We start from the raw sequence: 27,886 nt of genomic DNA, 5'->3' as shown, positions 1-27,886 counted from the left end.
TGCTGGTAGAGTCAATGTGTACTGAGTGAAGATGAGGCAAAAGTGTCAAAGAGTGATTTCCAATAAGATGAAAAGTGATCTGCAGTTTCCACTTCCTTAACCAGCAGGAAACGTCTCTCCTGTAGCAACGGACAGTGGAGGCAGTGGCGCTCAGTGTGGGGCCTCCTGGCTGAAGGAGGGGACAATATGGTGTCCCATCTCCCGAGATGCTGTATGCACCTCACCTGGCTGGTGATTTACTTGAAAGAAACCCATGTGTGGAGTAGGGAGTGCTGCCTTTGGCATCTACCCATGTCCTGCTCTGGACTCTGCCTCTTAGCAAGGGTGACTTGTGGGCCCAACTCACCTGGTGGCTGTGAGCCACTGCACTCCAGCCTGGGCAACAGAGTGAGGCCTTGTGTGAAAATAAAATAAAATAAAATATAAAAATAAAAATGAGCCAGGAATGGTGGCTCACGGCTGTAATCCCAGCACTTTGGGAAGCCGAGACAGGCGGATCACATGTGGTCAGGAGTTGGCGACTAGCCTGATCAACATGGAGAAACGCTGTCTCTACTAAAAATACAAAAAATTAACCTGGTGTTGTGGCTCATGCCTGTAATCCCAGCTACTCAGGAGGCTGAGGCAGGAGAGTCGCTTGAACCCAGGAGGTGGAGGTTGCAGTGAGCCAAGTTCCCGCCATTACACTCCAGCCTGGGCAACAAAAGCGAAACTCCGTCTCAAAAAATAAAATAAAAGACTTTAAGTCATTCATCAATTTTATGTATCTACTATTTCTTCTCCCATTCCATAAAGCCTACAGTCATACAACAGAAAGGGAAAATCAGGACAGCCACATATAAATAAAGGTGCAAAGTTGAGGCAGGAGTGGACCTTAAGGGCCAAGCAGAGGTCATTGCTGAGCCCTGGTCATTTAGCCCTGGGCTTTCTGGAAGCCAGAGTGAAAAGAGAGACACAATCAGCTGCATAAGAGTTATCAAAAAGCAGGAAGCGCGCTGGTTTTCCTGGTAGTAAAGCAAGGGCTTTCCAAGAATTTACCTCTAAAGTAATTTCTTTTGTTCTTTCTTTTTTCTCGCTCTGACACCCAGTTGGAGTGCAGTGGCACAATCAGGGCTCACTACAACGTCTGCCTCCCAGGCTCAAGCCATCCTCCCACCTCAGCCTCTCAAATAGCTGGGACTACAGGCACGCACCACCATGCCTGGCCAGTTTTTTGGTATTTTTTGTAGAGGTGGGATTTTGCCATGTTGCGTAGGCTGGTCTGGAACTCCTGAGTTCAAGCAATCCACCCACCTTGGCCTCCTAAAGTGCTGGGATTTCAGGCATGAGACACTGCGCCCAGCCTAAAGTAATTTCTTACTTGAGATTTTATTTCAGGCTACTGTGTCATGCACTGGGCAGTACAGCCTGGTGGGTGAGAGCACAGTGGTTTTTTTTGTTTTGTTTTGTTTTGTTTGTCTTCTGGGTTTGGGTTTGAATTTTAATACGTGCAATTTATTCTGTGCTTCACTTTCTTCATCTGTAACATGGAGATAACGGCGTCTACCTATTAAAGTTGTGAAGATTCAATTAGATGAGTTGTATGAATAAGTGTTAGCTGTTATTTTATTTTATTTATTTTTTTGAGACAGAGTCTCGCTCTGCACCCAGGCTGGAGTGCAGTGACGCAATCTTGGCCCATGGCAACCTCCGCCTCCCGGGTTCAAGCTATTCTCCTGCCTCAGCCTCCCAATTAGCTGGGATTACAGGCGCCTGCCATCATGCCCGGCTAATTTTTGCATTTTTAGTAGATCCGGGTTTTCACCATATTGGCCAGGCTGGTCTCGAACACCTGACCTCTGGTGATCCACCCGCCTCAGCCTCTCAAAGTGCTGGGATTACAGCCGTGGGTCACTGCGCCCAGCCAGCTATCAAGAAATCCGACTGCCTACTACTTAGCCTGCACAGTTTCAGGTGCTGGGGAAATAGTGATGAACAAGACAAACAAGATCCTCATCTTCAAGTAGCTTTTACATTCTAAGTGGAGTGAAAAAACAATAAACATTGAAAATAAATTTCAGAAAGTGCTGTGGAAAAACTTTACAACAGATGCAGGAATAGATTTCATTTGACTAGTTCTCCCAGTTTCCAGAAAAATCAAGGGTAGAATGTTAAAAGGCAACTCAGAGGTGAATCTGTTAGGGCCTACGGTAATGCAATCCTGGTTTGTGGAATTCCGCAGGCTAGTGTGGGTAGGTTACAATTTTGGGGGGAGGGCTTTATTTTGTTTGAAAATTCACTTCTTCCCGCTAAGCTTTTGATTAGGAGCTGAAGTTGAATCAGTTTGAAATTGTATTCTGGATCGAGTGCGGTGCTTCATGCCTGTAATCCCAGTGCTTTGGGAGGCCGAGGTGGGTGGATTGCTTGAGCCCAGGAGTTCGAGACCAGCCTGGACAAAATGGCAGAAACTCCATGTCTACAAAAAATACAAAAATTAGCCGGGCATGATGTTCTGCGCCTGTAGTCCCAGCTACTCAGGAGGCTGAGGTGGGAGGATCGCTTGAGCCCAGGAGGCGGAGTTTGCAGTGAGCTGAGATGTCACTGCATTCCAGCCTGGGAGACAGAGCCAGACTCTGTCTCAAAAGAAAAAAAGAAAAAAAAAAAAGAAAAGAAAAAACGAAATTGTATTCTGAATACATCTTCTAAAACACTACATTTACTTGCACTATATTAAACTGGTTTTATCCTGACCACAATTGCAGGTGAAAGATACCACTGTTGTTCTATTTTTCTGGTAAGTAGAGTGAGCCATGTCTTCCCCAGGGAAAGACGCCTCCTAAAAATTTGTAGGACCACCTTTGGTTTTCTTCCAGATATTTTTTTTGTCATCGCTTTTCCTGCGCCCAATTCCCATCTGTCTAGCCCTTCTGCCTCCGCTCGTCTTTTTCGCGAGCCTCTCCCCAGCCGCAGGTATTCGTCTGGGCTGCAGCCCCGCCCATCTCCTGGGGCGTGACCACCTGTCCAGGCCCCGCCCCCGTCCAACCCGCGGAGACCCGCCCCCTTCCCCGGACACCGGGTTCAGCGCCCGAGCGTGCGAGCGCGTCCCCGCTCGTCGCCCGGCTCGGCGTCGGGAGCGCGCTCTGTGTGGTCGCTGCTGCAGTGTTGTTGTGGCTGTGAGAAGGCGGCGGCGGCGGCGGAGCAGCAGCCGGACCAGACTCCCTAGTAGCTCAGGCGCTGCCCTGCGCCGGCCCTGGCAGGGAGCCTGGTGAGATGGTGGAGGAGGAGGCTGTGCCGTGGCTGGCCTTGCTGTGTCCTGCTGCCTGGTTAGAACCCCATCCCCGTCCCCCGTCTCCTCCGGGGGGTGAGGAGGAGCTGGAAGAGGGGCCGGCCTCTGTCCGGCCCGGCCAGGCGGCCGTCACCCTCTGAGGAGGCAGCGCCCGGGGAGGGGCCTCCCAGGCGGCCGCCGCCGCCAGGGGGAGGCGCTGGGAGTGGGAGTGGGAGCGGGACCTCAGCTGCCAAGCTCGGCCCGGACCCTAGGTGCGGGGGAGGCGGGGTCCCGGGCTCGGGCTGCCTGCCCGGACCTGGCGGGGATGGGCCCGTGCGGCTCCGGGTGTGGGACCTACCCTCAGAGCGCCCGGGGTTATTCCCACTGACTCCAGGGAGGTGAGTGTGCGCCCTTCGCTCCCTGCCGTGTCTGTGAGGGTCCATCGTTGCCGGAGACTGGAGGTCGGGGGCCATGGGAGCCCCGGGGCGAACGGTGCGGACATGGGCCTTGTGGAAAGGAGGAGTGACCGCCTGAGCGTGCAGCAGGACATCTTCCTGACCTGGTAATAATTAGGTGAGAAGGATGGTTGGGGGCGGTCGGCGTAACTCAGGGAACACTGGTCAGGCTGCTCCCCAAACGATCACGGTGTTATTTCTCCGGTAGAAATTTTGCTTGGTGTATGGCACTTCCGGACCCATAAGATGATGTCAGTTGTATTTTGGGCTGGAAAAATTATGTCAAAATTATGGGGTAGATTTTATGGCCACATTAATAGACTCCCCTGGAGTTTGATAATCTCACTTGTGAGTTTTGGACATGAACTACTATTACATATTGATGTTCGAATGTCGTTTCCAGACCCAGACCTAAATTCTTACTGTTCTAGTATCTTGATATCCACTTTGTTTTCTGACATCTATTTTTCCACAACCCAAACAAACAAAACCCCAAAACCATATACTTTTCCAGTTGAGGTTCAACTTTCTCACAGTAAATCCCTTCCCATCTGGGATTACAGGAGTAATAGCAACACAGTGTGTGTTTATAGATAGCAGCAATAATACATTTATTATATATAATATAATAAATGTATTAATATTATATATTTGTATATATACAAATATATATAATTACATATATTTATTAAATATATAAGTAAAAATTTATTATATATAAATTTTAATTTATATATAAAATTACATATATAGTAATATGTATTGAAATACATATTACTATAAATGTAATATGTATTTCATTTGTGTATATGTCAATATACACAAATGGAAGCAATGACTACGTAATAAGTGCTAAGTCTTTTTTGTTCTTGTTGTTTTGAGATCAAGTGTCACTCTTGTTTCCCAGGCTGGAGTGCAATGGTGCAATCTCGGCTACTGCAACCACTGCTGCCCGAGTTCAATCGATTCTCCCCTCAGCCTCCCAAGTAGCTGGGATTACAGGTGTGTGCCACCACACCCGGCTAATTTTTGTATTTTTAGTAATTTTCCCCAGTGTGTGGCTTGGCTTTTCACTCTCTAAATGGTGTCTTTTGATGAACAGAAATTGTTAATTTTATGAAAGTTTAATTTATCAATTATGGTTAGTTATAGTTATGTACAATTTGGAAAATCATTGCCTATCCCAACATTATAAAAATAATGTCCTACATTCTTTTTTAAGAGGTTACATTATTTTACATTTCTCAGCAGGGTCTCAGATCTAGTTGATGTGATTTTTTCAAATCACAAACTCACTTTTGTATAGGGTTTGAGGAGGGGTCAAAATAAATTTTTCCTCATAGATATCCAGTTGATCCAGCACCTTTTATTGAAAAGGCCATTCCTCACACTAAATTGTAGTAGTGCTTTTGTCAAAAATCAGGTGACTGTATATAGAAAGGTCTGTTTCTGATCTGTTTTCTGTTTTATTATTCTAGGTGTCCATGCTTGTTCTAATACCTTACTATTTGATTTACTTTAGCTTTATACCAAGTTTTGATGTTTAATCATGTAAATCCTCAACCTTTGTTCTTTTTCAAAGTTATCTTGGCTATTAAATTCTTGGTATTTCTAAATATAGTTTTAAAACAGTGTCAGACAATGCTTTTTTATTATTTAAAGATGAGATACTAAGTACCTGAACACAATGACAAATTCTATGATCTTCTGAAACTAACCTCCGGGTGTGAGAATTTGAAGGTTAGTGGATAGAAGATGGCCGAATAGGAACAGCTCCGATCTGCAGCTCCCAGTGAGACCAACACAGAAAACAGGTGATTTCTGCATTTCCAAATGAGGTACCTGGTTCATCATCATTGGCACTGGTTGGACAGTGGGTGCAGCCCACAGAGGGTGAGTTGAAGCAGGGCAGTGTGTCACCTCATCCGGGAAATGCAAGGGGTCAGGAGATTTCCTTTACCTATCCAAGGGAAGCTGTGACAGACTGTACTTGGAAAAATGGTACACTTCTGCCTAAATACTGTGCTTTTCCCATGGTCTTAGCAACCAGCAGACCAGGAGATTCCCTCCCATGTCTGGCTCAGTGGATCCCACGCCCATGGAGCCTTGCTCACTGCTAGCACAGCAATCTGAGATTGACCTGAGAGGCTGCAGCCGGGTGGAGGGAGGGGGGTCTGCTATTGCTGAGGCTTCAGTAGGTAAAGAAAGCAGCCAGAAAGCTCAAACTGGGTGGAGCCCACCACAGCTCAACAATGCCTACTGCCTCTATAGGCTCCACCTCTTTGGACAGGGCATAGCTGAACAAAAGGCAGCAGACAACTTCTTCAGACTTAAACATCCCTGTCTGACAGCTCTGAGAGAGAAGTGGTTCTTCCAGCATGGTGTTGGAACTCTGAGAATGGACAGACTGCCTCCTTAAGGGGGCCCCTGATCCCCGTATAGCCTGACTGGGAGACATCTCCCAGTAGGGGCCGACAGATACCTCATACAGGTGGGTGCCCCTCTGCGATGAAGCTTCCAGAGGAAGGATCAGGCAGCAATACTTGCTCTTCTGCAGCCTCTGCTGGTGATGCCCAGGCAAACAGGGTCTGGAGTGGACCTCCAGCAAACTCCAACAGACATGCAGCTGAGAGGCCTGTTAGAAGGAAAACTAACAAACAGAAAGGAATAGCATCAATATCAACAAAAAGGACATCCACATTAAAACCCCATCTGTAGGTCACCAACATCAAAGACCAAAGGTAGATAAAATCACAAAGATGGGGAGAAACCAGAGCAGAAAAGATGAAAATTCCAAAAACCTAAGCACTTCTTCTTGTCCAAAGGATCGCAGCTCCTCACCAGCAACAGAACAAAACTGGACAGAGAATGACTTTGATGAATTGACAGAAGTAGGCTTCAGAAGGTCGGTAATAACAAACTTCTCTGAGCTAAAGGAGCATGTTCTAACCCACTGGAAGGAAGCTAAAACTCTTGAAAACAGGTTAGATGAATGGCTAACTAGAATAAATAGTGTAAAGAAGACCTTAAATGACCTGATGGAGATGAAAACCACAGCATGAGAACTTCGTGACGCATGCACAAGCATCAATAGCTGATTCAATCAAGTGGAAGAAAGGATATCAGTGATTGAAGATCAAATTAATGAAATAAAGTGAGAAGACAAGATTAGAGAAAAAAGAGTAGAAAGAAATGAACAAAGCCTCCAAAAAATATGGGACTATGTGAATAGACCAAATCTACATTTGATTGGTGTACCTGAAAGTGACAGGGAGAATGGAACCAAGTTAGAAAATATTCTTCAGGATATTATCCAGGAGAATTTCCCCAACCTGGCAAGGCAGGCCAACATGCAAATTCAGGAAATACAGAGAATACAACAAAGATACTCCACGAGAAGAGCAACTCCAAGACACATAATTGTCAGATTCACCAAGGTTGAAATGAAGGAAAAAATGTTAAGGGCAGCCAGAGAGAAAGGTCGGGTTACCCACAAAGAGAAAACCATCAGACTAACAGCGGATGTCTCAGCAGAAACCCTACAGGCCAGAAGAGTGGGGGCCAATATCCAACATTCTTAAAGAAAAGAATTTTCAACCCAGAATTTCATATCCAGCCAAACTACGCATCATAAGTGAAGGATAAATAAAATCCTTTACATACAAGCAAATGCTGAGAGATTTTGTCACCATCAGGCCTGCCTTACAAGAGGTCCTGAAGGAAGCAATAAACATGGAAATGAACAATCAGTACCAGCCACTGCAAAAACATGCCAAATTGCAAAGGCCATCTACACTATGAAGAAATTACATCAACTAAGGGGTAAAGTAACCAGCAAACATAATAATGACAGGATCAAATTCACACATAACACTATTAAATGTAAATGGGCAAAATGCCCCAATTAAAAGACACAGACTTGCAAATTGGATAAACAGTCAAAACCATCAGTGTGCTGTATTCAGGAGGCCCATTTCACATGCAGAGACACACATAGGCTCAAAATAAAGGGATGGAGGAAGATCTACCAAGCAAATGGAAAGCAAAAAAAGCAGGGGTTGCCATCCTAATCTCTGATAAAACAGACTAAACCAACAAAGATCGAAAGAGACAAGGTCATTACATAATGGTAAAGGGATCAATTGAACAAGAAGAGCTAACTATTCTAAATATATATGCACCTAATACAGGAGCACCCAGATTCATAAAGCAAGTCCTTAGAGACCTACAAAGAGACTTAGACTCCGATGCAATAATAATGGGAGACTTCAACACCCCAATCTCAATAGTAGATCAATGAGACAGAAGTTTAGCAAGGATATCCAGGATGTGAACTCAGCTCTGCACCACATGGACCTAAATAGATATCTACAGAATTCTCCACCCCAACTCAATAGAATATATATTCTTCTCAGCACCACATCACACTTATTCTAAAATTGACCACATAATTGGAGGTGAAACATTCCTCAGCAAATGTAAAAGTACAGAAATCACAACAAACTGTCTGTCAGACCACAGTGCCATCAAATTAGAACTCAGGATTAAGAAACTCACTCAAAACTACACAATGACATGGTAACTGAAGAACCTGTTCCTGAGTGACTACTGGATAAAAAATGAAATGAAGGCAGAAATAAATATGTTCTTTGAAACAACATACCAGAATCTCTGGGACACATGTAAAGCAGTATGTAGAGGGAAATTTATCGTACTAAATGCCCACAAGAGAAAGCAGGAAAGATCTAAAATCAACAGCCTAACATCAAAATTAAAAGAACTGGAGAAGCCAGAGTAAACAAATTCAAAAGCTAGCAGAAGGCAAGAAATAACTAAGATCAGAGCAGAACTGAAGGAGATGGAGATACAAAAAACCGTTCCAAAAATCAATGAATCCAGGAGGTGGTTTTTTGAAAAGATCAACAATAGATAGACTGCTAGCAAGACTAATAAAGAAGAAAAGAGAGAAGAATCAAATATGCTCAATAAAAATGATAAAGGGGATATCACCACCAATCTCACAGAAATATGAACTACCATCAGAGAATACTATAAACACCTCTATGCAAATAAACTAGAAAATCTAGAAGAAATGGATAAATTCCTGGACATACACACCCTCCCAAGACAGAACTAGGAAGAAGTTGAATCTCTGAATACACCAATAACAGGTTCTGAAATTGAGGCAATAATTAATAGCATACCAACCAAAAAAAGTCCAAGACCAGATGGATTCACAGCTGAATTCTACCAGAGGTACAAAGAGGAGCTGGTACCATGCCTTCTGAAACTATTCCAATCAATAGAAAAAGAGGGAATCCTCCCTAACTCATTTTATGAGGCCAACATCATCCTGATACCAAAGCCTGGCAGAGACACAACAAAAAAAGAGAAATTTAGACCAATATCCCTGATGAACATCAGTGCCAAAATCCTCAATAAAATACTGGCAAACCAAATCCAGCAGCACATCAAAAAGCTTATCCACCATGATCAAGTGGGCTTCATCCCTGGGATGCAAGGCTGGTTCAACGTACACAAATTAATAAATGTAATCCATCACTTAAACAGAACCAATGACAAAAACCACATGATTATCTCAATAGATGCAGAAAAGGCCTTCGACAAAATTCAACAGCCCTTCATGCTAAAAACTCTCAATAAACTAGGTATTGATGGAATGTATCTCAAAATAATAAGAGATATTTAAAACCCACAGCCAACACCATATCGAATGGGCAAAAGCTGGAAGCATTCCCTTTGAAAACCACCACAAGACAAGGATGCCCTCTCTCACCACTCATGTTCAACATAGTGTTGGAAGTCCTGGCCAGGGCAATCAGGCAAGAGAAAGAAATAAAGGGTATTCAATTAGGAAATTAGGAAGTCCAATTGTCCCTATTTGCAGATGACATGATTGTATATTTAGAAAACCCCACCGTCTCAGCCGAAAATCTCCTTAAGCTGATAAGCAACTTCAGCAAAGTCTCAGGATACAAAATCAATGTGCAAAAATCATAAGCATTCCTATAATGTTGCCGGAAGTCAGGGACCCCAAACAGAGGGACCGGCTGGAGCCGCAGCAGAGGAACATAAATTGTGAAGATTTCATGGACATTTATCTGTTCCCAAAATTAATACGTTTATAATTTCTAACACCTGTCTATACTGCAATCTCTGAACATAAATTGTGACGATTTCAGGGACATTTATCAGTTCCCAAATAGTACTCTTTGAATTTCTTATGCCAGTCTTTACTTTAATCTCTTAATTCTGTTATCTTCCTAAGCTGAAAATGTACATCACCTCAGGACCACTATTGTACAAATTGATTGTAGAATATGTGTGTTTGAACAATATGAAATCTGATTGTAAAACATGGGCGTTTGAACAATATGAAATCAGTGCACCTTGAAAACGAACAGAATAACAGCGATTTTAGGGAAGAAGGGAAGACAACCAAAGGTCTGACTGCCTGCGGGGTCAGGCAGAATAGAGCCATATTTTTCTTCTTGCAGAGAGCCTATAAACAGATGTGCAAGTAGGAGAGATATCGCTGAATTCTTTTCCCAGCAAAGAATATTAATAATTGATACCCTGGGGAAGGAATGGATTCCTGGGGGGAGGTCTATAAACAGCTGCTCTGGGAGTGTCTGTCTTATGCGGTTGAGATAAGGACTGAAATACGCCCTGGTCTCCTGCAGTACCCTCAGGCTTATTAGGGTGGGGAAAAGATCCCGCCCTGGTAAGTTTGAGGTCAGACCAGTTCTCTGCTCTCAAACCCTGTTTTCTGTTGTTTAAGATGTTTATCAAGACAATATGTGCACAGCTGAACATAGACCCTCATCAGTAACTCTAATTTTGCCCTTTGCCTTGTGATCTTTATTGCCCTTTAAAGCATGTGATCTTCGTGATATACTCCCTGTTCATACATGCTCTCCCCTTTTAAAGTCCTTAATAAAAACCGGCTGGTTTTGTGGCTCAGGGGGACATCACGGACCTATTGTTATGTGATGTCACCCCCAGAGGCCCAGCTGTAAAATTCCTGTCTTTGTACTCTTTTTCTTTATTTCTCAGGCCAGCCGACACTTAGGGAAAATAGAACCTACATTGAAATATTGGGGGCTGGTTCCCCCGATACTATAAACCAGTAACAGACAAACAGAGAGCCAAATCGTGAGTGAACTCCCATTCACAATTGTTACAAAGAGAATAAAATACCTAGGAATCCAACTTACAAGGGATGTGAAGGACCTCTTCAAGGAGAACTACAAACCACTGCTCAATGAAATAAAAGAGGACAAAAACAAATGGAAGAACATTCCATGGTCATGGATAGGAAGAATCAATATCATGAAAATGGCCATACTGCCCAAGGTAATTTACAGATTCAATGCCATCCCCATCAAGCTACCAATGACTTTTTTCACAGCATTGGAAAAACTATTTTAAAGTTCATATGGAACCAAAAAAGAGCCCACCTAGCCAAGACAATCCTAAGCAAACAGAGCAAAGCTGGAGGCCTCACGCTACCTGACTTCAAACAATACTGCAAGGCTACCGTAACCAAAACAGCATGGTACTGTTACCAAAACAGGTTATATAGACCAATGGAACAGAAAAGAGGCCTCAGAAGTAACACCACACATCTACAACCATCTGATCATGGCAAACCTGACAAAAACAAGCAACAGGGAAAAAATTCCCTATTTAATAAATGGTGTTAGGAAAACTGGCTAGCCATATATAGAAAGCTGAAACTGGGTCCCTTTCTTACACCTTATACAAAAATTAACTCAAGATGGATTAAAAACTTAAACGTTAGACCTAAAAACTATAAAAACCCTAGAAGAAAACCTAGACAATACCATTCAGGACATAGGCAAGGGCAAAGACTTCATGACTAAAACACCAAAAGCAATGGCAACAAAAGCCAAAATAGACAAATGGGATCTAATTAAACTAAAGAGCTTCTGCACAGCAAAAGAAATATCATCAGAGTGAACAGGCAACCTACATATTGGGTGAAAATTTTGCAATCTACCTATCTGACGAAGGGCTAATATCCGGAATCTACAAAGAACTCAAACAAATTTACAAGAAAAAAAACAACCCCATCAAAAAGTGGGCAAAGGATATGAACAGACAGTTCTCAAAAGAGACATTTATGCAGCCAACAGACACATGAAAAAATGCTCATCATTACTGGTCATCAGAGAAATGCAAATCAAAACAACAATGAGATACCATCTCATGCCAGTTAGAATGGCAACCATTAAAAAGTTAGGAAACAACAGATGCTGGAGAGGATGTGGAGAAATAGGAAAGCTTTTACACTGTTGGTGGGAGTGTAAATGAGTTTAACCATTGGGGAAGACAGTGTGGTGATTGGTGATTCCTCAAGGATCCAGAACTAGAAATAACATTTGATCCAGCAATCCCATTACTGGGTATATACCCAAAGGATTATAAATCATGCTACTGTAAAGACACATACACACGTATGTTTATTGCGGCACTCTTCACAATAGCAAAGACTTGGAACCAACCCAAATGTCCATCAGTGATAGCCTGGGTTAAGAAAATGTGGCACATATACACCATGGAATACTATGTAGTCATAAAAAAGGATGAGTTCATGTTCTTTGTAGAGACATGGATGAAGCTGGAAACCATCATTCTCAGCAAACTATCACAAGGACAGAAAACCAAACACTGCATGTTCTCACTCATAGGTGGGAATTGAACAATGAGAACACATGGACATAGGAAGGGGAACATCACACACCGGGGCCTATTGGGGGGTGGGCAGCTGGGAGAGGGATAGCATTAGGAGAAATACCTAATGTAAATGATGAGTTGATGGGTGCAGCAAACCAACGTGGCACATGTATACCTATTTAACAAACCTGCACTTTGTGCAAATGTACCCTAGAACTTAAAGTCTAATAATAAAAAAAACAAATTTAGTGGACAAAGTGAGTAGCTATCTTTTCTGCTTTCATCTCACTAAATCTAGTTTAATAATCAGATTGCAATAACATAATAAATTTTATAGTAAGATTGTATATAATTACCTATATATTGGAAGACAAGGGAAAATTTATAACTGTGAGTGCTGATGAAGCTAACATATTACCTGCATTTTGAAGTGTGAATGAACATTCAACAGGAATGCACTTATTTCATGGAATAAGATGTAAGATGTAAGAGATATGAAAGAAAAATATGAGTAATGTAATAAGTAATGCTTTAAAAAAAAGTAGGGAAGCCATTAATGTACTGTGACTGTTACATTATGTTCAAAATGAGAACTAAAGCCATATTCAACAGATGCCTCCCACACTTTTATCATACTCTTCTTATATCTGTACTTTTTTTTTTTTTTTTTTGAGACAGAGTCTCTCTCTGTCACCAAGGCTGGAGTGCGATGGCGTGATCTCAGCTCACTGCAACCTCCGCCTCCTGGGGTCAAGTGATTCTCCTTCCTCAGCCTCTCGAGTAGCTGGGATTACATGCATGTGCCACCATGCCCAGCTAATTTTTTGTATTTTTAGTAGAGATGGGGTTTCACCATGCTGGCCAGGCTGGTCTCAAATTCCTGACCTCATGAACCGCCCGTCTCAGCCTCCTAAAGTGCTGGGATTACAGGCATGAGCCACCATGCCCGGTCTTAGATCTGTACTTTCTAACAGAGCAACACAACCAGCATTTCTAACAAATGCTGCAAATCTTAAAGACGATGGTGTTCAGCATAATCTAAGAATACAGAGCATAAAAACCTATTTTGGAAAAAATATTAAAAGCATAATGGTAAAATTCAACACTTATTTTTAGAACCTACTGTGTGCCAGGCACTTTAAAAAATGTTTTTAATACAAGGATGAGCAAAATTGGTGAAATCTCTGCCCCTGTGGAGTGTCCAGTCTAATGAAAAAAACAGCAAGTTAAGAAGCAAATGCATAATATAGTGTTAGGTTGTGATAAGGGCTATGTGGAAAAAATAAAGTGTGGTTGAATATAGAATGACACAATGTGTGTGTGTAGAGAGTATTGTTGGAGAGAAGGCTCAGAAGTGAAAGAAATGATGAAAGAACCACACCAATATCTGATGCAAGAGGGAATAGCCAATCAGAAGCCTTAAGGCTGCAAGAGCTGGGAGGTTTAATAAACAGCAAGAAAAATAGTGCCAAAGTGATATAGAGTGGCAGAGGGAAAAGTAGTAAGTAACAGATACAAAAGATAAGCAGGGCCTAGATTCCCTGTGGCCTGGGAGATAATGGTGAAGACTTATGGATTTGTTTCATGTGGTGAAAATCTGTTGTAGAATTTGAGCAGGAAATGATGTGATCTGATCTACGTTTTTGAAAGAATCATTCTGGCTCCTGTTTGGAAAATAGCTGGGATTGGGTTGGAAAAAAAAAAAGTAATGGAAATAGAGGGAACAATCAGAAATGACTGCTGTAATTTAGAAGAGAGATAACGGAAACATGGCCTCGGGTAGTATCTACAAAAAAGGTGAGAACTCGATTTAGGATGTGTTGTGAAGGTAAAGTTGACAGGCTTTGCCAATAGAATGGATTTGGAGTGTGTAAAACATAGGGAATCCAGGCTGATTTTTAAATTGAGGGCCAGAGCCACTGGATAGTTAGAGATGATATTTCCACTAAGACTGGAAGTGAGGGGGAGCATCATATTTGGGGCAGGGAGGAATCAAAGTTTCTGTTTTGAGTGGTTAAATTCAGAATGCTTCTCAGATATCCCAGAGGAGGTGTTAATTTGGCAGTCAAGTATCTGAATCTGGACACAGAGGGGAGGTCAAGGCTGGATGTGTTAGTTTAGAAATAACCAGCATTTGGGTAAGATTAAAACCTATGATATAGGATAAAATTATCTAGAGAGAGCATTTACTCAGAGAACTCTCAATATTCAGGAACACAAGCCTATCCAGACTGGCTCAGGATAAATAAAGTTTTATGTAGAAGACAAATAGTTGCCCATGTAGAACCAAAGAAAAGGCGCAAATAAATACAAGCCCATCATCTCTCTTGGTTACATAGAATACATGAGGCAGTAAAGGATAAGGATTAAACTTTCAAGATGTGAATGTCTTGAATTCAGATGTCAAACAGAAATGAATTTGAATCTGTTTCCCACCAGCCAAATGAGTGTTTGATGAAGATGACCATGATGATGATAATGACTTACATTTCTTAATGTTTCCCGTATGTATGTAGGACTTTTAAACTTGTTCCAGTACAGGTAGGGAAAGAAAATTCACATTAGTTTATTCACACACATATAGAGAGAGTTGGGGTATCTGCGTGCTGCCCAGGCTGGGCATTTGAGCCCATTCCTGGGCTCAAATAATCCTCCTGCCTAGGTCTCCCAAAGTGCTGGGATTACAGGCATGATCCACTGTGCCCTGCCCTAAATATATTTTATATATAGCAGGTAATAAAACAAGAACATGAGGATTACAATTTTTAATCACAGAGGGAAAGATTTTGTGAGAATAACATAATTTCATATTCAAACAGCAAGTCTTTAGCTAATTCTTTGATTAAAGTATTGACAAAACCATTTTGAAAAATGTTTCTGAGGCACTTTTACCTGTGAAGTTTTGAAAGATCTACACTTTTTTTTTTTTTAATGTTTTTTTTTTTTATTATACTCTTAAGTTTTAGGGAACATGTGCACATTGTGCAGGTTAGTTACATATGTATACATGTGCCATGCTGGTGCGCTGCACCCACTAACATGTCATCTAGCATTAGGTATATCTCCCAATGCTATCCCTCCCCCCTCCCCCGACCCCACCACAGTCCCCAGAGTGTGATATTCCCCTTCCTGTGTCCATGTGATCTCATTGTTCAATTCCCACCTATGAGTGAGAATATGCGGTGTTTGGTTTTTTGTTCTTGCGATAGTTTACTGAGAATGATGGTTTCCAATTTCATCCATGTCCCTACAAAGGACATGAACTCATCATCATTTTTTATGGCTGCATAGTATTCCATGGTGTATATGTGCCACATTTTCTTAATCCAGTCTATCATTGTTGGACATTTGGGTTGGTTCCAAGTCTTTGCTATTGTGAATAGTGCCACAATAAACATACGTGTGCATGTGTCTTTATAGCAGCATGATTTATAGTCCTTTGGGTATATACCCAGTAATGGGATGGCTGGGTCAAATGGTATTTCTAGTTCTAGATCCCTGAGGAAAAAAAAAAAAAAAAAAAAAAAAAAAAAAGAGAATAGGCACAGAAGTGAATTTGCCTTGTAAACTTGACTTCTGAGCTGCATAAATATTTTACGTAATTACAAAACAAAAAATAAAAAAGCAATTTTTACAAATCTTGTGTGTTCAGTTAGGAGCACACCTTCACAGAGAGGAACTCTTCCCAATGGCTTTAAGGCACAATTGTTGTTGTTTTTAAAAATATCTTAAATAAATTTTTATTTTTATAGATTTAGAGGGTACAAGTGCAGGATTGTTACATGGATAAATTGTGTGGTAGTGAAATCTGGGGCTTTTAGAAGACACAGTAATTTGACTCTCCATCCCTAGTGCACAAAAAAGAATTAAACAATTTCCAGTATTCAGGATCCAAATGAAGTTCATACAGTGATTGTTTGAAATAACTTTTAAGTCTCTTATAATCCATATTTCCACATTTCTTTCTTTCTTTTTTTAATTTATACATTTTTCTGCTTATTGAAGAAAACTAGTTATCCTGTAGTTTTTCCTACAGTCTGAATTTTGCTGTTGCATCACCATAATATAGAAATAAAAATGATGTATGATATTTATGAGCTAATTGGAAATGTGAACATAGACTGGTTATTTAATGATATTAAGAAATTATTGTTTATTTTGTCAGGTGAGACTATACTGTGGTCTTATTAAAATGAGATATATACTGAAGAAAAAAAAAAAAAAAAGAAAGATCTACACTTGGTAAATTTAGCATCTTTTAATTTTTCTTCCCCTACAGTAATTACAAAATTCTGGAGGGGGAAAAATGTAATATTCTCCAGGAGTGAGAATGGAAGACAATACTTTGAGCTATACTAGACATAATCATTTTTGTACATGCACTTTCAGAAGAGGTCCCATGCTGTGGACTGAACTTGAAACGAAATACAGTAATTGTCTCTGGCATTAAATACCCATAGGCATATTTTTACAAGAACATACATTAGTATATGCCTGCTAGATACATAACAATGTGTGAGTATATTTTAAGAGAATCTTAATGTGACTAACAAATAGCAATCAAATTGTTCACAATTTCAGGCTCAAAATTGAAAAGAAGAGGAATTTTTTTTACTAAAAAATTATATACACAGAAAGAGTGATTCAAAGTTGAGCATTAATGCAAATTAGGATGAAATACGAGAAGTAATCCTTGCCAACCATCTGCCTAGCTTCTCCCCACTTCTACCCTTCCCTAGCAGGGGTGAGCTATTTTACCTCCTGGGGAGATGGGAAATGACAGAGAGTGAGAGGCTAATCAGAAGTTTCAAGCACCCCCTTCTCTAAAAGCAGGAGGCTGTTGGTGAGTACTGGAATTTTGTTTTTCTAATTTGGTCTTGAGGTTTCTCTCTGGAAAATGGCTGTGAATTCTAACCCTGCACTGAAAGGGCTCCAGTATTTGGGTCATGGATGTCTACAGTGACTTCTTTATCCTAGTGGATGGCCTAATGCCTAAGTGTTGCCTAGTGCCTAAGCGTCCAACCCATGACCAGGTGTCCCACTCACAGGAAACATGCTTATACCAGCAGGCACCCTCGTGGCTCTTGTCTGACCTATATCCAGTTTATTTCTACCAAGATATCCATTGTCTAGGAGAGCTTTCCCTTGGAAAGAAACTAGGTTCAGGTGTGTCAGTCAGGTGAGATGCAGAGGAGGCGATGCAACAAAAACCACACAATAATAGGAGGAGTTTATTACTTACAGATTAGAGAAAAGGGCAGCACTCCTTGCAGAGCTGATGGGAAAGCAGAGCCATTCCAGATATACATGCTCTACCAGAACCACAAAGTGCAGAGCAAAAGAGAGAGTGAGGGACCTGTGTGCTAAAGCTTTTATTGGAGTCCAGGGTATTATTAGGTGGGTTTCCATGGGAGTTCTAATTTGCGAGTTTAAAGCAAGCTGTTCCAAGTCCTATGTGGCCACGCTGTTACTGAGAGGTTGTCGCTGCAGCATATCTGTACAGTCTATGGGGGATGGAGGAGTCAGTGGGGTAAGCCAATAGGTGGTACCTAACTGTCCCTTAGGGAAGGTGGTCAACAGCAGACAATTGTATAAGGGAGATATCTGGATTGACCATATTAAGGAACTGGGATGAAATAGAGAACTGGAAATTGTGCCAAGGGTGACTAAACCATGTTTCTTGTATGAGAAAGTCCAACTTATATTCAAAATGAATGCCAAGGCAATATAAAATTACAGGAATTCACTACCATGCACCCCCATGCTCCTGAATTTTCAAGTCCAGACTCCCTATATGTAGCTGATAATATGGGTGCCAAGTAATCTGGAAATTCCTGGAATTTCTGCTGCTAATTGGAAATCCCAGCCCATTTCTTTCAAGGTAATCTGTCTTTGGGTCCAAAGTCAGCATTTTATGACACTTAGGTGCTCTCATCAAAGGTGTGTGTATGAAATGGCTTAAGGAAAAAATAGACACAGAACAGCTTGCCTTTGCCCTGTAGAGCTCTCAGGTAGGTTCAACCCATCCTGGGAATTGGAGTGATTTCAGATACTCTGAATGCCTTTGGTTCCCAAACTGCCATGGGCTTGCTGGTGGAACAAAAACAGACCTTGATACCCTTACTATGAATTATATATATGATTGGCTAACTGAAAGCAAAACCATAATGGAACATGACTGCAGACACGTATATATTCTCCAGGGGTTCCATGTTTTGTTGGGGAAAACATATCTCACCAGGTGAATGGCCTCAATGGCTGAAGGCAGCATGAACCCTAAACTCTTAGATACTTGGATAATTCATTGGGAACAACAACAGACAGAGTTGAAGCTAGTCTTTAAGAATATTCCCTACAAGCCAGCACAGGCAAAAATCTTTCAGGTATAAAATTCTCTTCTTTCTTACTGTAGTGTATCTTTGGCAACATGGGTATACAGACTATGGAAAGCTTAAGAATGTAAGTTACATTTTAGTAGCTCTGTTGGTGGAATATATATGTGTCCAAAGAGCTTTCTTAATTGGATGTGGGCTTACCCTGTTCTACTTTAGTCCAGATTCCTTGTTATTAAGCTTTTTATTGCTGCAGCATATTCTCTAAATATAATTTACTCCTGATAATAATTAATCAACATTACAGAAGAAAGCTATAAATATAAGGTGATAATATAAAATATATATTTATATGTCATATATTACATAGTAAATAAAATACATGTTAAATCAAAATAAAATAGTATTATAGGCTAAAATATATATGTACACATAAACATTTAGTGTAAATGTGCATATAAAAGGAGAAAAAAGGAAATACATTAAGATGATAATACTGTAGGTAGGTAGGGAGATTTTGGTAGTTTACTTTTTCACATATTCCAAAATATTTAATTACTATTTTATAACTTACATAAATTGTAGAATAACTTCTCTTGTTTAGTAACAGCATAGAGAGGGGTAAAACTGGCAGAAATGGATATGTTTGATCAATGTTGATCCTTCAAACTACAGTGATCCACTTCTGAGAACAGGGACTCATATTTAATGAGGGAGTAAGCCAGGTTCTTACAGAGCGTGAGATTCAGCTTCTCCTGTCATGAGATGGGGTCAGGCTCTGGGCCAGGAGAGCAATGGCCAGCTTTGGAAGCTATATCTCAGGTCACATTCAAAAGCACACATTTCCAACTCTTTTCCCAACGCTGCTTTTGTCACATTAGAATGAAATTTGCCCTCTGTGTTGAAATATTCTATAAAAAACACAATCTTGCTTAAGTTAAAATTTAAAGTTAGCTTGTCTGACAGCTGGGATGTAAAGAGACAGTGAAAGGATTCTGACTTTTGGCATTGTCAGCAGTTTCCCTTGAGAGTGGAGCCCTGTCTTTCTGCAACCTGCAGCTCTCGCTTTCCTGCTGTGACTGAGCCAGTGGGATCGTCGGCCAGGAGAGGGCGCCTCACTCAGTGAGACATAAATCCAACGCACCCTATGAGGGCACTAGGAAGGTGAAACGCAATCCTCACCTACACTTGCTCTGCTCTCTGCCGTTTCAGCATTCCACCTTAGGGCGTCAGGCTTAACTTTGCAGGTGTTAAATCTCCGTGTGTCCATGAAACACTTCAAGTACTATTTCAGCAGCTTGGAGAAATGCCAAACACAAGTCAGGAAGTTATCTCCGTCAGAGGCTTGCCGCCTCACCCCTGCATGGCTCTCAGAGAAAGCTTCCTTTCTGTAAGACACATTCCAATCATCACACTGTGGCTAAAAGGCTAAATATAGGAGAGACATTTGCCAAGATATAGCAAAGCCGATGTTGGTTTGCCTAGGCAATTTGATAAATGATGATTGTGTGCAGGTGGTGCCTAAATAGACCATAGACTACATATTAAGATAACTTATGAGGTCTGCTGGAGAGAATGGGAAAGTGGGTGTGTGTGGATGTTTGGCACAGCCTGGGGCTATGGCTATAAGAACCTGAGTCTAGGATTTGCCATAGAATATTCTGTGAGCAAAAAAGACACCTACTTCTCAGTTATAATCCTCATAAGAATTTTTATAATATTTTTTAAGCTGTGCAATCCACAGCTGTGTAACTGAGAAAAATCACTTAACCTGTCTGAACCTAGGTTTCCTCAAATATATTCAGTCTGCACTCCCAGGACCTCACTTTAAGAGAAACCTGAATCTCTTGAGCACGAGCATGTGGATGGGTGTTATTCCCTTCCTGCACACCTTCTGTGCTTCAAAGAGAGAACTTATGTAACCTTTTTCCTCATGTATCCCTGCTTTGAAACCTGTAAATTTCTATCTTTCTCTGCCCCTTTCTGACTTCTTTTATTATTATTTTCAACCTCATCGATTTCTTCAAATTACTTTCCATCCACTAAATATTTCTAATGAGCCCTGTACATTTTTCTGTACCACTGTGGAAAAAAAGTAAAATAATTTCTGTCTTAACAAAGGATTGCCGCACCCATCTGGCATTAAAAGGAAGAAGAAAAAGCGGGACACATTAAAAACAATAAGCGTTGATTTCTCTGGCTGTACCTACAGACCTGTTACTGTGAGGCCTTTAATCCATCTTCACCGCCGCTTTCTTCCCTTGCTTTGTCTTTTAAAGTTTCAGGGGACTGTCACAAACAGGGTCTTACTCAGGGCCTCCTGCTGCTGCTCTGTGGCCTTGTTGAGCCCGTGGGGCTGGTTCCTGTGGCTCCTCCTGGCCAGTTGTCCACCGCAGGTGCCATGGATCCAAGAATTACCTCTGCTGGGCACCTCCCTCCCACACAATGGCACCCTGCTTCCAGGACATGCTGAGTCCTATCTCAAGGCATTCTTGGTCTTCCCTCAATGTTGCAGAGTAATATTATTTTATCTAGAACATTCCTGTGTTGAAGCTCAGTAAATGTCAGCACAAGTAGGCAAAAGTGTATTGCTTTGGGTGGTAAACTTTCTCCATGCTCTCCCCGGACCCCTTCTTATCCACTTTACCAGCCATGTGAATGCATCCTATAGCTTCTCTGTGCTTTGTTCCAAATGGCCTGCCCCTGTGACCTTCTTCAGAGGCTGACCATGGGCCAGTCCCTCCCTCCCAGAGAGAGCCTGGAATGCCTGGTAGTGTAGTTCTAGGGAAGCCTATAGCCAATGACTGTGCAAGATTCTGAAAGCCTGACTCCCTTTCCTCAAAATGGGGCAAATTCTGACATAATTTATGGTCTAGAGCTCCCCAAAGATCTGGCTAAGGCCAGGGAGTTGGCTAAAATTGTGCCTTTCTCTGTTCTTCATTTCCTTTTCTCTTGTGTTCTTCTCCTGGCCCTTAATAAATACCCTGTTCATGATCTGTGTCTCAGAGTTGGCTTCTGGAGGTCCAGCCTTAGGTATTTGGTTAGGAGTGCAAGGATGATTTTTGGAGGCAGATTCTGAGGATGGGATTCTAGAGTTAAGTCACCAGCTAAGTGGCAATAAATACCCCATCACAGGGGGTATGTGGAGCCCAGAGGGGCCCTGACACACTAGAGCATTGCAGTTGCTAAAACTTTTACCTGGAGCGAATTAAGATGATGTCATGGGTTGAATTATGTAACCTCAAAAGATGTTGAATTTCACCCCCAGTACCTGGGAATGTGATATTACTGGGAAATAAGATATTTGCAGATAATCCAACTAGAATGAGATCATTAGGGTGGGCCCTAATTCAATATCACTGTTGACCTCACAAAAAAAGTGAAATTTGAACATGGAGACATACATGCTTAGAGGAAAGATGGTGTGAAGACACAGGGCATCCACAAGAACAATTTGAGGCCAACAGGGAGGTCATGGAACAGATTCTTCCCTACGGTTCTCAGAACCAACCTTGCCGACACCTTGATTTTGGACTTCTAGTCTCCAGAACTGTGAGATAATAAATTCCTCATGTTCTATGCCACCCAATTTATTGTATTTTGTTATAGAAGCCCTAGGAAACTAATACAGAAGGGATTCTGACAGAACAGGTATGCTAGATTGTGCAATTTTCTTTGGCTTTTGATGGTACAAGGTAAATGGTCATTACAAAGGCTGTGGATGGGTTCCATGATAAATAGACTCCAGTTGGTCAGCATAAGGCAAAGTGAGAAAGTCAAAAAGTCCCTTGGCAGCTCTTAAACAAACCCCCTTTTTCTATAGCCAAGGGAGACCATGCTGAAGACCAGGCCAGGACCAACTATAAGAACAGTGGACCTTTGGTGGCTCAGGCCTGTAATCCCGGCACTTTGGGAGGCCGAGGCAGATGGATCACCTGAGGTCGGGAGTTCAAGACCAGCCTGAGCAACATGGAGAAACCCCATCTCTACTAAAAATACAAAATTAGCCAGGCATGGTGGCATATGCCTGTAATCCTAGTTACTCAGGAGGCTGAGGCAGGAGAATCACTTGAACCCAGGAGGCAGAGGTTGCAGAGAGCTGAGATCACGCCATTGCACTCCAGCCTGGGCAACAAGAGCAAGACTCCATCTCAAAACAAAACAAAACAAAAACAAAACAGTGGACCTTCAGGGACACCCAGTTTACATCCTCAGCAATCCCATGCAACAGCCAGGAACTTGGTAAGGAAGAAATGGCTTCTTAAGACTTGGAATCAGAAAATGTGAATAGATGTCATTGATAAATGTGAAACTGCAGCTGTCCCTGAATCCTCTGGGCCTGCAGAATGGGCCCACATCTTCTTTCTAGAGGGCAGAGCTCTCTTGCTTGAAGATTGGAAGCAAGTGTACAAATGTAAGCAGAGAAGCCTAACAAGAGATTAATTTTATGGCTTATATCTTTATTAGAACTTAAATCCAATATGTTTATTAGACCTTACAGTTCTGTCTGAGAGAAAAGAGGGATATGTTAAAGTCCTCACTCCACAAGATTTGTAACCATAGGCATAAAACCTTTAAAGGATATACTTTATGGCAGTGCATTCCAAATTTACACGTAAAACAGATTTCTGCTATTGCATTTCAAATTCAGACATAAAACAGATTTCCAACTTCTTTCACCTGTTGGGCTGGTCCCATGTCATATACTCAATGTGCAGTACTCACTTCTTTGAGCCTCAGTAACATGTGAGTAGAAATGGGATCATTGTAATAAATCTACTTGCATCAACATATGTTCCTTGTCTCATAACAGCCATTTATCCCCAACCTTAATTAAATATTTCTGAGGGGTAACTAAAGAATACTGGATTGCTGTTGGTTTCAGATGAAATCTGTGCAGAGTCTGTGCCATGAAGGGCTCTGCCTATATTTTGGTTACAAAAGTTATCTTATTTTGGCAGGGTGCAATGGCTCATACTTATAATCCCAGCTCTTTGGGAGGCAGAGGTAGGAGAACTGCTTGAGCCCAAGAGTTTGAGACCAGCCTAGGAAACATAGAGAGATCCCATTTCTACAAAAAAAAATTAATTAAAAAAATTTTATAAATTTGTAAAGCTCTTTGTGCATATATTGCCTGATGTCATATTCTCCTCAAGCAGCCCCTGAGATGAGGAGTCATGTGGGAGTAATTTGTTAACAAGGTGATCTCAAAGGAAGACAGGGAAGGAGAAGGGAAAGAAGGATATGGAAAAGAGAGAACCCAAGAAAGTGTGTGATTTTGTCAAAGTCCAGCTTCAGCCTCATCCAACTTGAGGCCAGGGAGTCAGATTGTCAGACACTTGGACCAGTCAGTCATTGCCTAAGAACTGCACAGAGGGTTAAAGCTCCCCTCTCCCAGCTCCATGCAGAGATCCTTAAAGACAGTCCCAGTTGCGGCCGGGTCTGGTGGCTCATGCCTGTTATCCCAGCACTTTGGAAGGCTGAGGCAGGCGGATCAAGAGGTCAGGAGTTCGAGACCAGCCTGGCCAATATAGTGAAACCTCATCTCCACTAAAAATACAAAAATTAGCCAGGTTTGGTGGCAGGTGCCTGTAATCCCAGCTACTCAGGAGGCTGAAGCAGGAGGATTGCTTGAACCCAGGAGGCAGAGGTTGCAGTAAGCTGAGATCATGCCACTGCATTCCAGCCTGGGTTACAGAGGAAGACTCAGTCTCAAAAAAAAAAAAAAGTCTCAGTTGCAGGCCTTCGGAAGCAAAGCACAAAGCAGTTGGAAGAGGCTTACAGAAAGAGCAAAAGAATGTGGGGTATCTGTGTGTGCTGTCAACAGTGCTATTACTGTGAATGAATATCTGTGTCCCCCCAAAATTCATATATTGAAGCCTAACCCCCAAGTTGATGATATTTGGAGTTGGGGCCTTGGGGAGGTGATTAGGTCATGAGTGTGGAGCCCTCATAGGTGTGATTCCTGCCCTTATAAGAAAAGATGATCTCTCTCTCCGCCATCTAAGGATACAAGAAGACAGCATCTGCAAACCAGGAAGGGGGTCTTCACCAGTCACAGTCTGCTGACACCCTGACCCTGGACTATCCTAGGCTCCAGAACTCCAGAAATCAATCTCTGTTGTTTAAATCGCTCAGTCTATGATATCTTGTTATAGCAGCCCAAACTGACTAACACAATTATACATGTCAAAATCCTTTCTAATCTGTGGATCTGGGCTTTGCAACTTTGCATGTCTCACAGCCAGCAGAGGATTCTATTATTAATGGTAATCCATGTCAAATTTAATACTATAAGAATTTTTCATAAAATCAATTTGTTTTTAACCTTTTGGCTATCAAACTAGTTGTAATTTGAAATCCAAGACAATTAAATCTTTGTAAAATGTGGGTCTTTTTGTAAGATGACTTTAACCACAGAGAAAATGTAAAATTTTAGGAAGGGTAAGACATGTAGTTAGCACTGAGATTACTATGTGAGGCCTAATGTTATCTATGTGTAAGGCAATCATCAGTGTTACATTTCATTAGAAAGATGGCTTTTAAAAAACAACTAGCGCCAAGGTGGGCAGATCACCTGAGGTCAGGAGTTCAAGACCGGCTTGCCCAACATGGTGAAACCCCATCTCTATTAAAAATACAAAAAAATTAGCTGGGTGTGGTGGCAGATGCCTGTAATCCCAGCTACTTGGGAGGCTGAGGCAGGAGACTCGCTTGAACCCAGAAGGCAGAGGTTGCAGTGAGCCGAGATTGCTCGACTGTACTCCAGCCTGGGTGACAAGAGTGAAACTCTGTTAAAAAACAAAAAAAAGAAAAAAGAAAACTAGCCAGCTTCACAATGGAGGCAGTTCCATAATTTGTTGGGATTTTGGAATGGCAGTGAGCTACATATCTTTTCTTTCATGTTCTAACATATAGAAAACAAACTAAGTCTTTGTATATTAGCTAACTCAGCAGAACAGTCTGTGGGAGATTATATTGATCTTGAATACACAGTGCACATGTATTGGATATTGATGCATAATTTGGGTCTAATTTCTTCTCGTATCTAAATACTCGTAAACATTTAGAATGGTTTAAATGTACAGGCTCAGAATGACTTTAATAGGACCTTTAAAATTTATATTTATATATTTAAATAACTGCTGATGGCACTGTTGTTTATAATATTAGGTTTCTTGCTGACCTCTCAGAATTTTCCTTAGAGCCTGAGACAGGCCGACTGGTTGGTTCCCTATCTTAAGATTGTCTGAAGGAAAAGGATAAAAGCCCCTCAACTCAAACTCTAGCTTGTCTAACTCTCAGCCAATCAGCAATAAAAGACCAAGGAAGCTATTAATTGCAAATTTCTATTTCAGGGGGCTAGAGGCTTTCCCAGAGTCCCATATGTGGAGTCAGACTTAAACTCCAACCTAAAGTTATCTTTTCCTCATTTCAACACTAAAGTTCATGCCCAGGGGTGGAGATTTAAAATTCTAATGCTACATGCAATGTATGAAGAAACATGTTGAGCCATTGTGCAGGTGCTAGCAAAACTCTCCCTATACATTCCCTGAGGGAATCCTTCCCTATGGAAAGACCCTATACCTAACCGAACCACACAGTATCTTTGGGGAACAGCCCACTCCTTTTTGCTCTCTCATGGCTGGCTCCCTGAGAGGTAATAAACTCTCTTCATTGCTGCCTCTGGTGATCTCTCTTGATTTCTATCCTGAGAAATCACAAGATCTCAGGGCACTGGTAAGAAGCTTGTCACAGATTCTTTGAATTTCCTCAATGGTTCTGAAACAGGAGTGTTCCCTTGACCCCTTTGCAGGACTTGTGACATGAGTGACTTGTTTACTTGTTTACCATGCTGAATCCCTTATGGAAGGAAGCACATGAGTGGATGGGTGTGGGAACCAGAGCAAATGAATGTGGAACTGGCCTGTGGCTCCTCTCCGGCGGGAGCAAGCTTTGTGTGGGTTCTGCAGCAGTGTCAAAGTGTGTTACAATAGTCTTTTAGCTCTGCGGTCTGGGAGGGGCTGTCTGCGACCCCCAGAGCCCCAGAGGGCATGTGTTACAATCAGTGCTCCTTTAACATTTGCTGTCTGTGGATGGCTAAGTGTTAACCAGCTCAGTGGAAGGTCAGGGTGACAGCCTTTTACACTTTGCTGTCTTGGTACCTGAGTTCTGATCCAGCGTCCAGGAAGAATCAGGTCACATGAACAAATTGAAGGTGGTGAATGTGGAGGACTTTATTGAGTGGTAAAAGTGGGCCTCAGTGGGAAAGGGAGCTGGAAAGGGGATGGAGTGGGAAGATAATCTTCCCCTGGAGCCCGGGTGTCTCCAGCTGAACTCCTCTCTGACCATAGTTTCTGACCTCCAGCTGCTTCTTCTCATCTCAATATCCAGACACTTCTCTCTTCTGTGTGTGTGTCCACTGAGTCTGGGGCTTGGGGTTCTTATGGGCACAGGATAGGGGGTGGTGTGGGGTGGGCCAAAAGGCAACAATCAGGTGGGAAAACAGGGATAGTTCTCACTTTGGGCTGAGGGTCCAAGCTTGTGGGTGGAGCCCTTGCCAAAGATCCTGCCCTTTTCTACCAGTATTTGCCTGCCTTCTGTCCATTTCAGTTCAAGACAGTTTGTGCAATTTGGAAACAGCCAGATCTAAACAGTGTAAAATCTGGATAGTCAGGCAGAATAAGGCTGGAAAAAATATATAATTATATAGAATAAAGCTGAAAAAATTCGCTGAGTAATACTCTGTGTGTGCACCTACATGCACATGTAACAAAGTGATAATTTCTATTTCCTTAGATGTTTCAAAATGTATCTTGAACATATGACAAATATTTAATGTTTTCTGGGTGACTACATTGAAGCCCACCACTCACTTGGGACAGAAAAGTCATTTTTTGGTGTGTGATTATACTTGCTATCTTATGGTCACAACTTTTAATACTACATAGAAGCATTAATATTTTTATTTTTCCTTTAGATCCTTCACTGAATTCAACCCAGTCTACTCAACAGTTCACCAAGAGTCTTGCTATCTCCAATTTCAGGATATGCTTTCCATCACCAATACCCAGGTTAATGGACACTCCTCAACCCTTTGTCAGTCCCTGCCCAGTGTTGCCTTTGAGACTGAA

General features: G+C 41.8%; 1 long non-coding RNA gene across 3 annotated transcripts; it reads left to right on the top strand.

Annotated features, from left to right (window-relative positions):
• The first annotated feature begins 3,132 nt into the window (after positions 1-3,132).
• LOC101927555 (uncharacterized) lies at positions 3,133-27,886 on the top strand. 3 transcript variants are annotated; one of them, XR_950585.2, is made up of 4 exons: positions 3,140-3,302; positions 3,639-3,817; positions 4,607-4,701; positions 27,733-27,886. It is a non-coding gene; the product is annotated as an uncharacterized LOC101927555 (long non-coding RNA). The 3 variants fall into 3 exon arrangements; XR_247331.3 differs by lacking the exon at positions 27,733-27,886 and having other exon boundaries at positions 3,133-3,302; positions 4,607-6,879; XR_950586.2 differs by lacking the exon at positions 4,607-4,701.

This window comes from Homo sapiens, unplaced genomic scaffold (assembly GCF_000001405.40).
Source record: "Homo sapiens unplaced genomic scaffold, GRCh38.p14 Primary Assembly HSCHRUN_RANDOM_CTG2".
Classification (NCBI taxonomy): Eukaryota; Metazoa; Chordata; class Mammalia; order Primates; family Hominidae; genus Homo; species Homo sapiens.
Note: the sequence above shows the minus strand (reverse complement) of the source record. Positions and strands in the feature narration are given on the sequence as shown.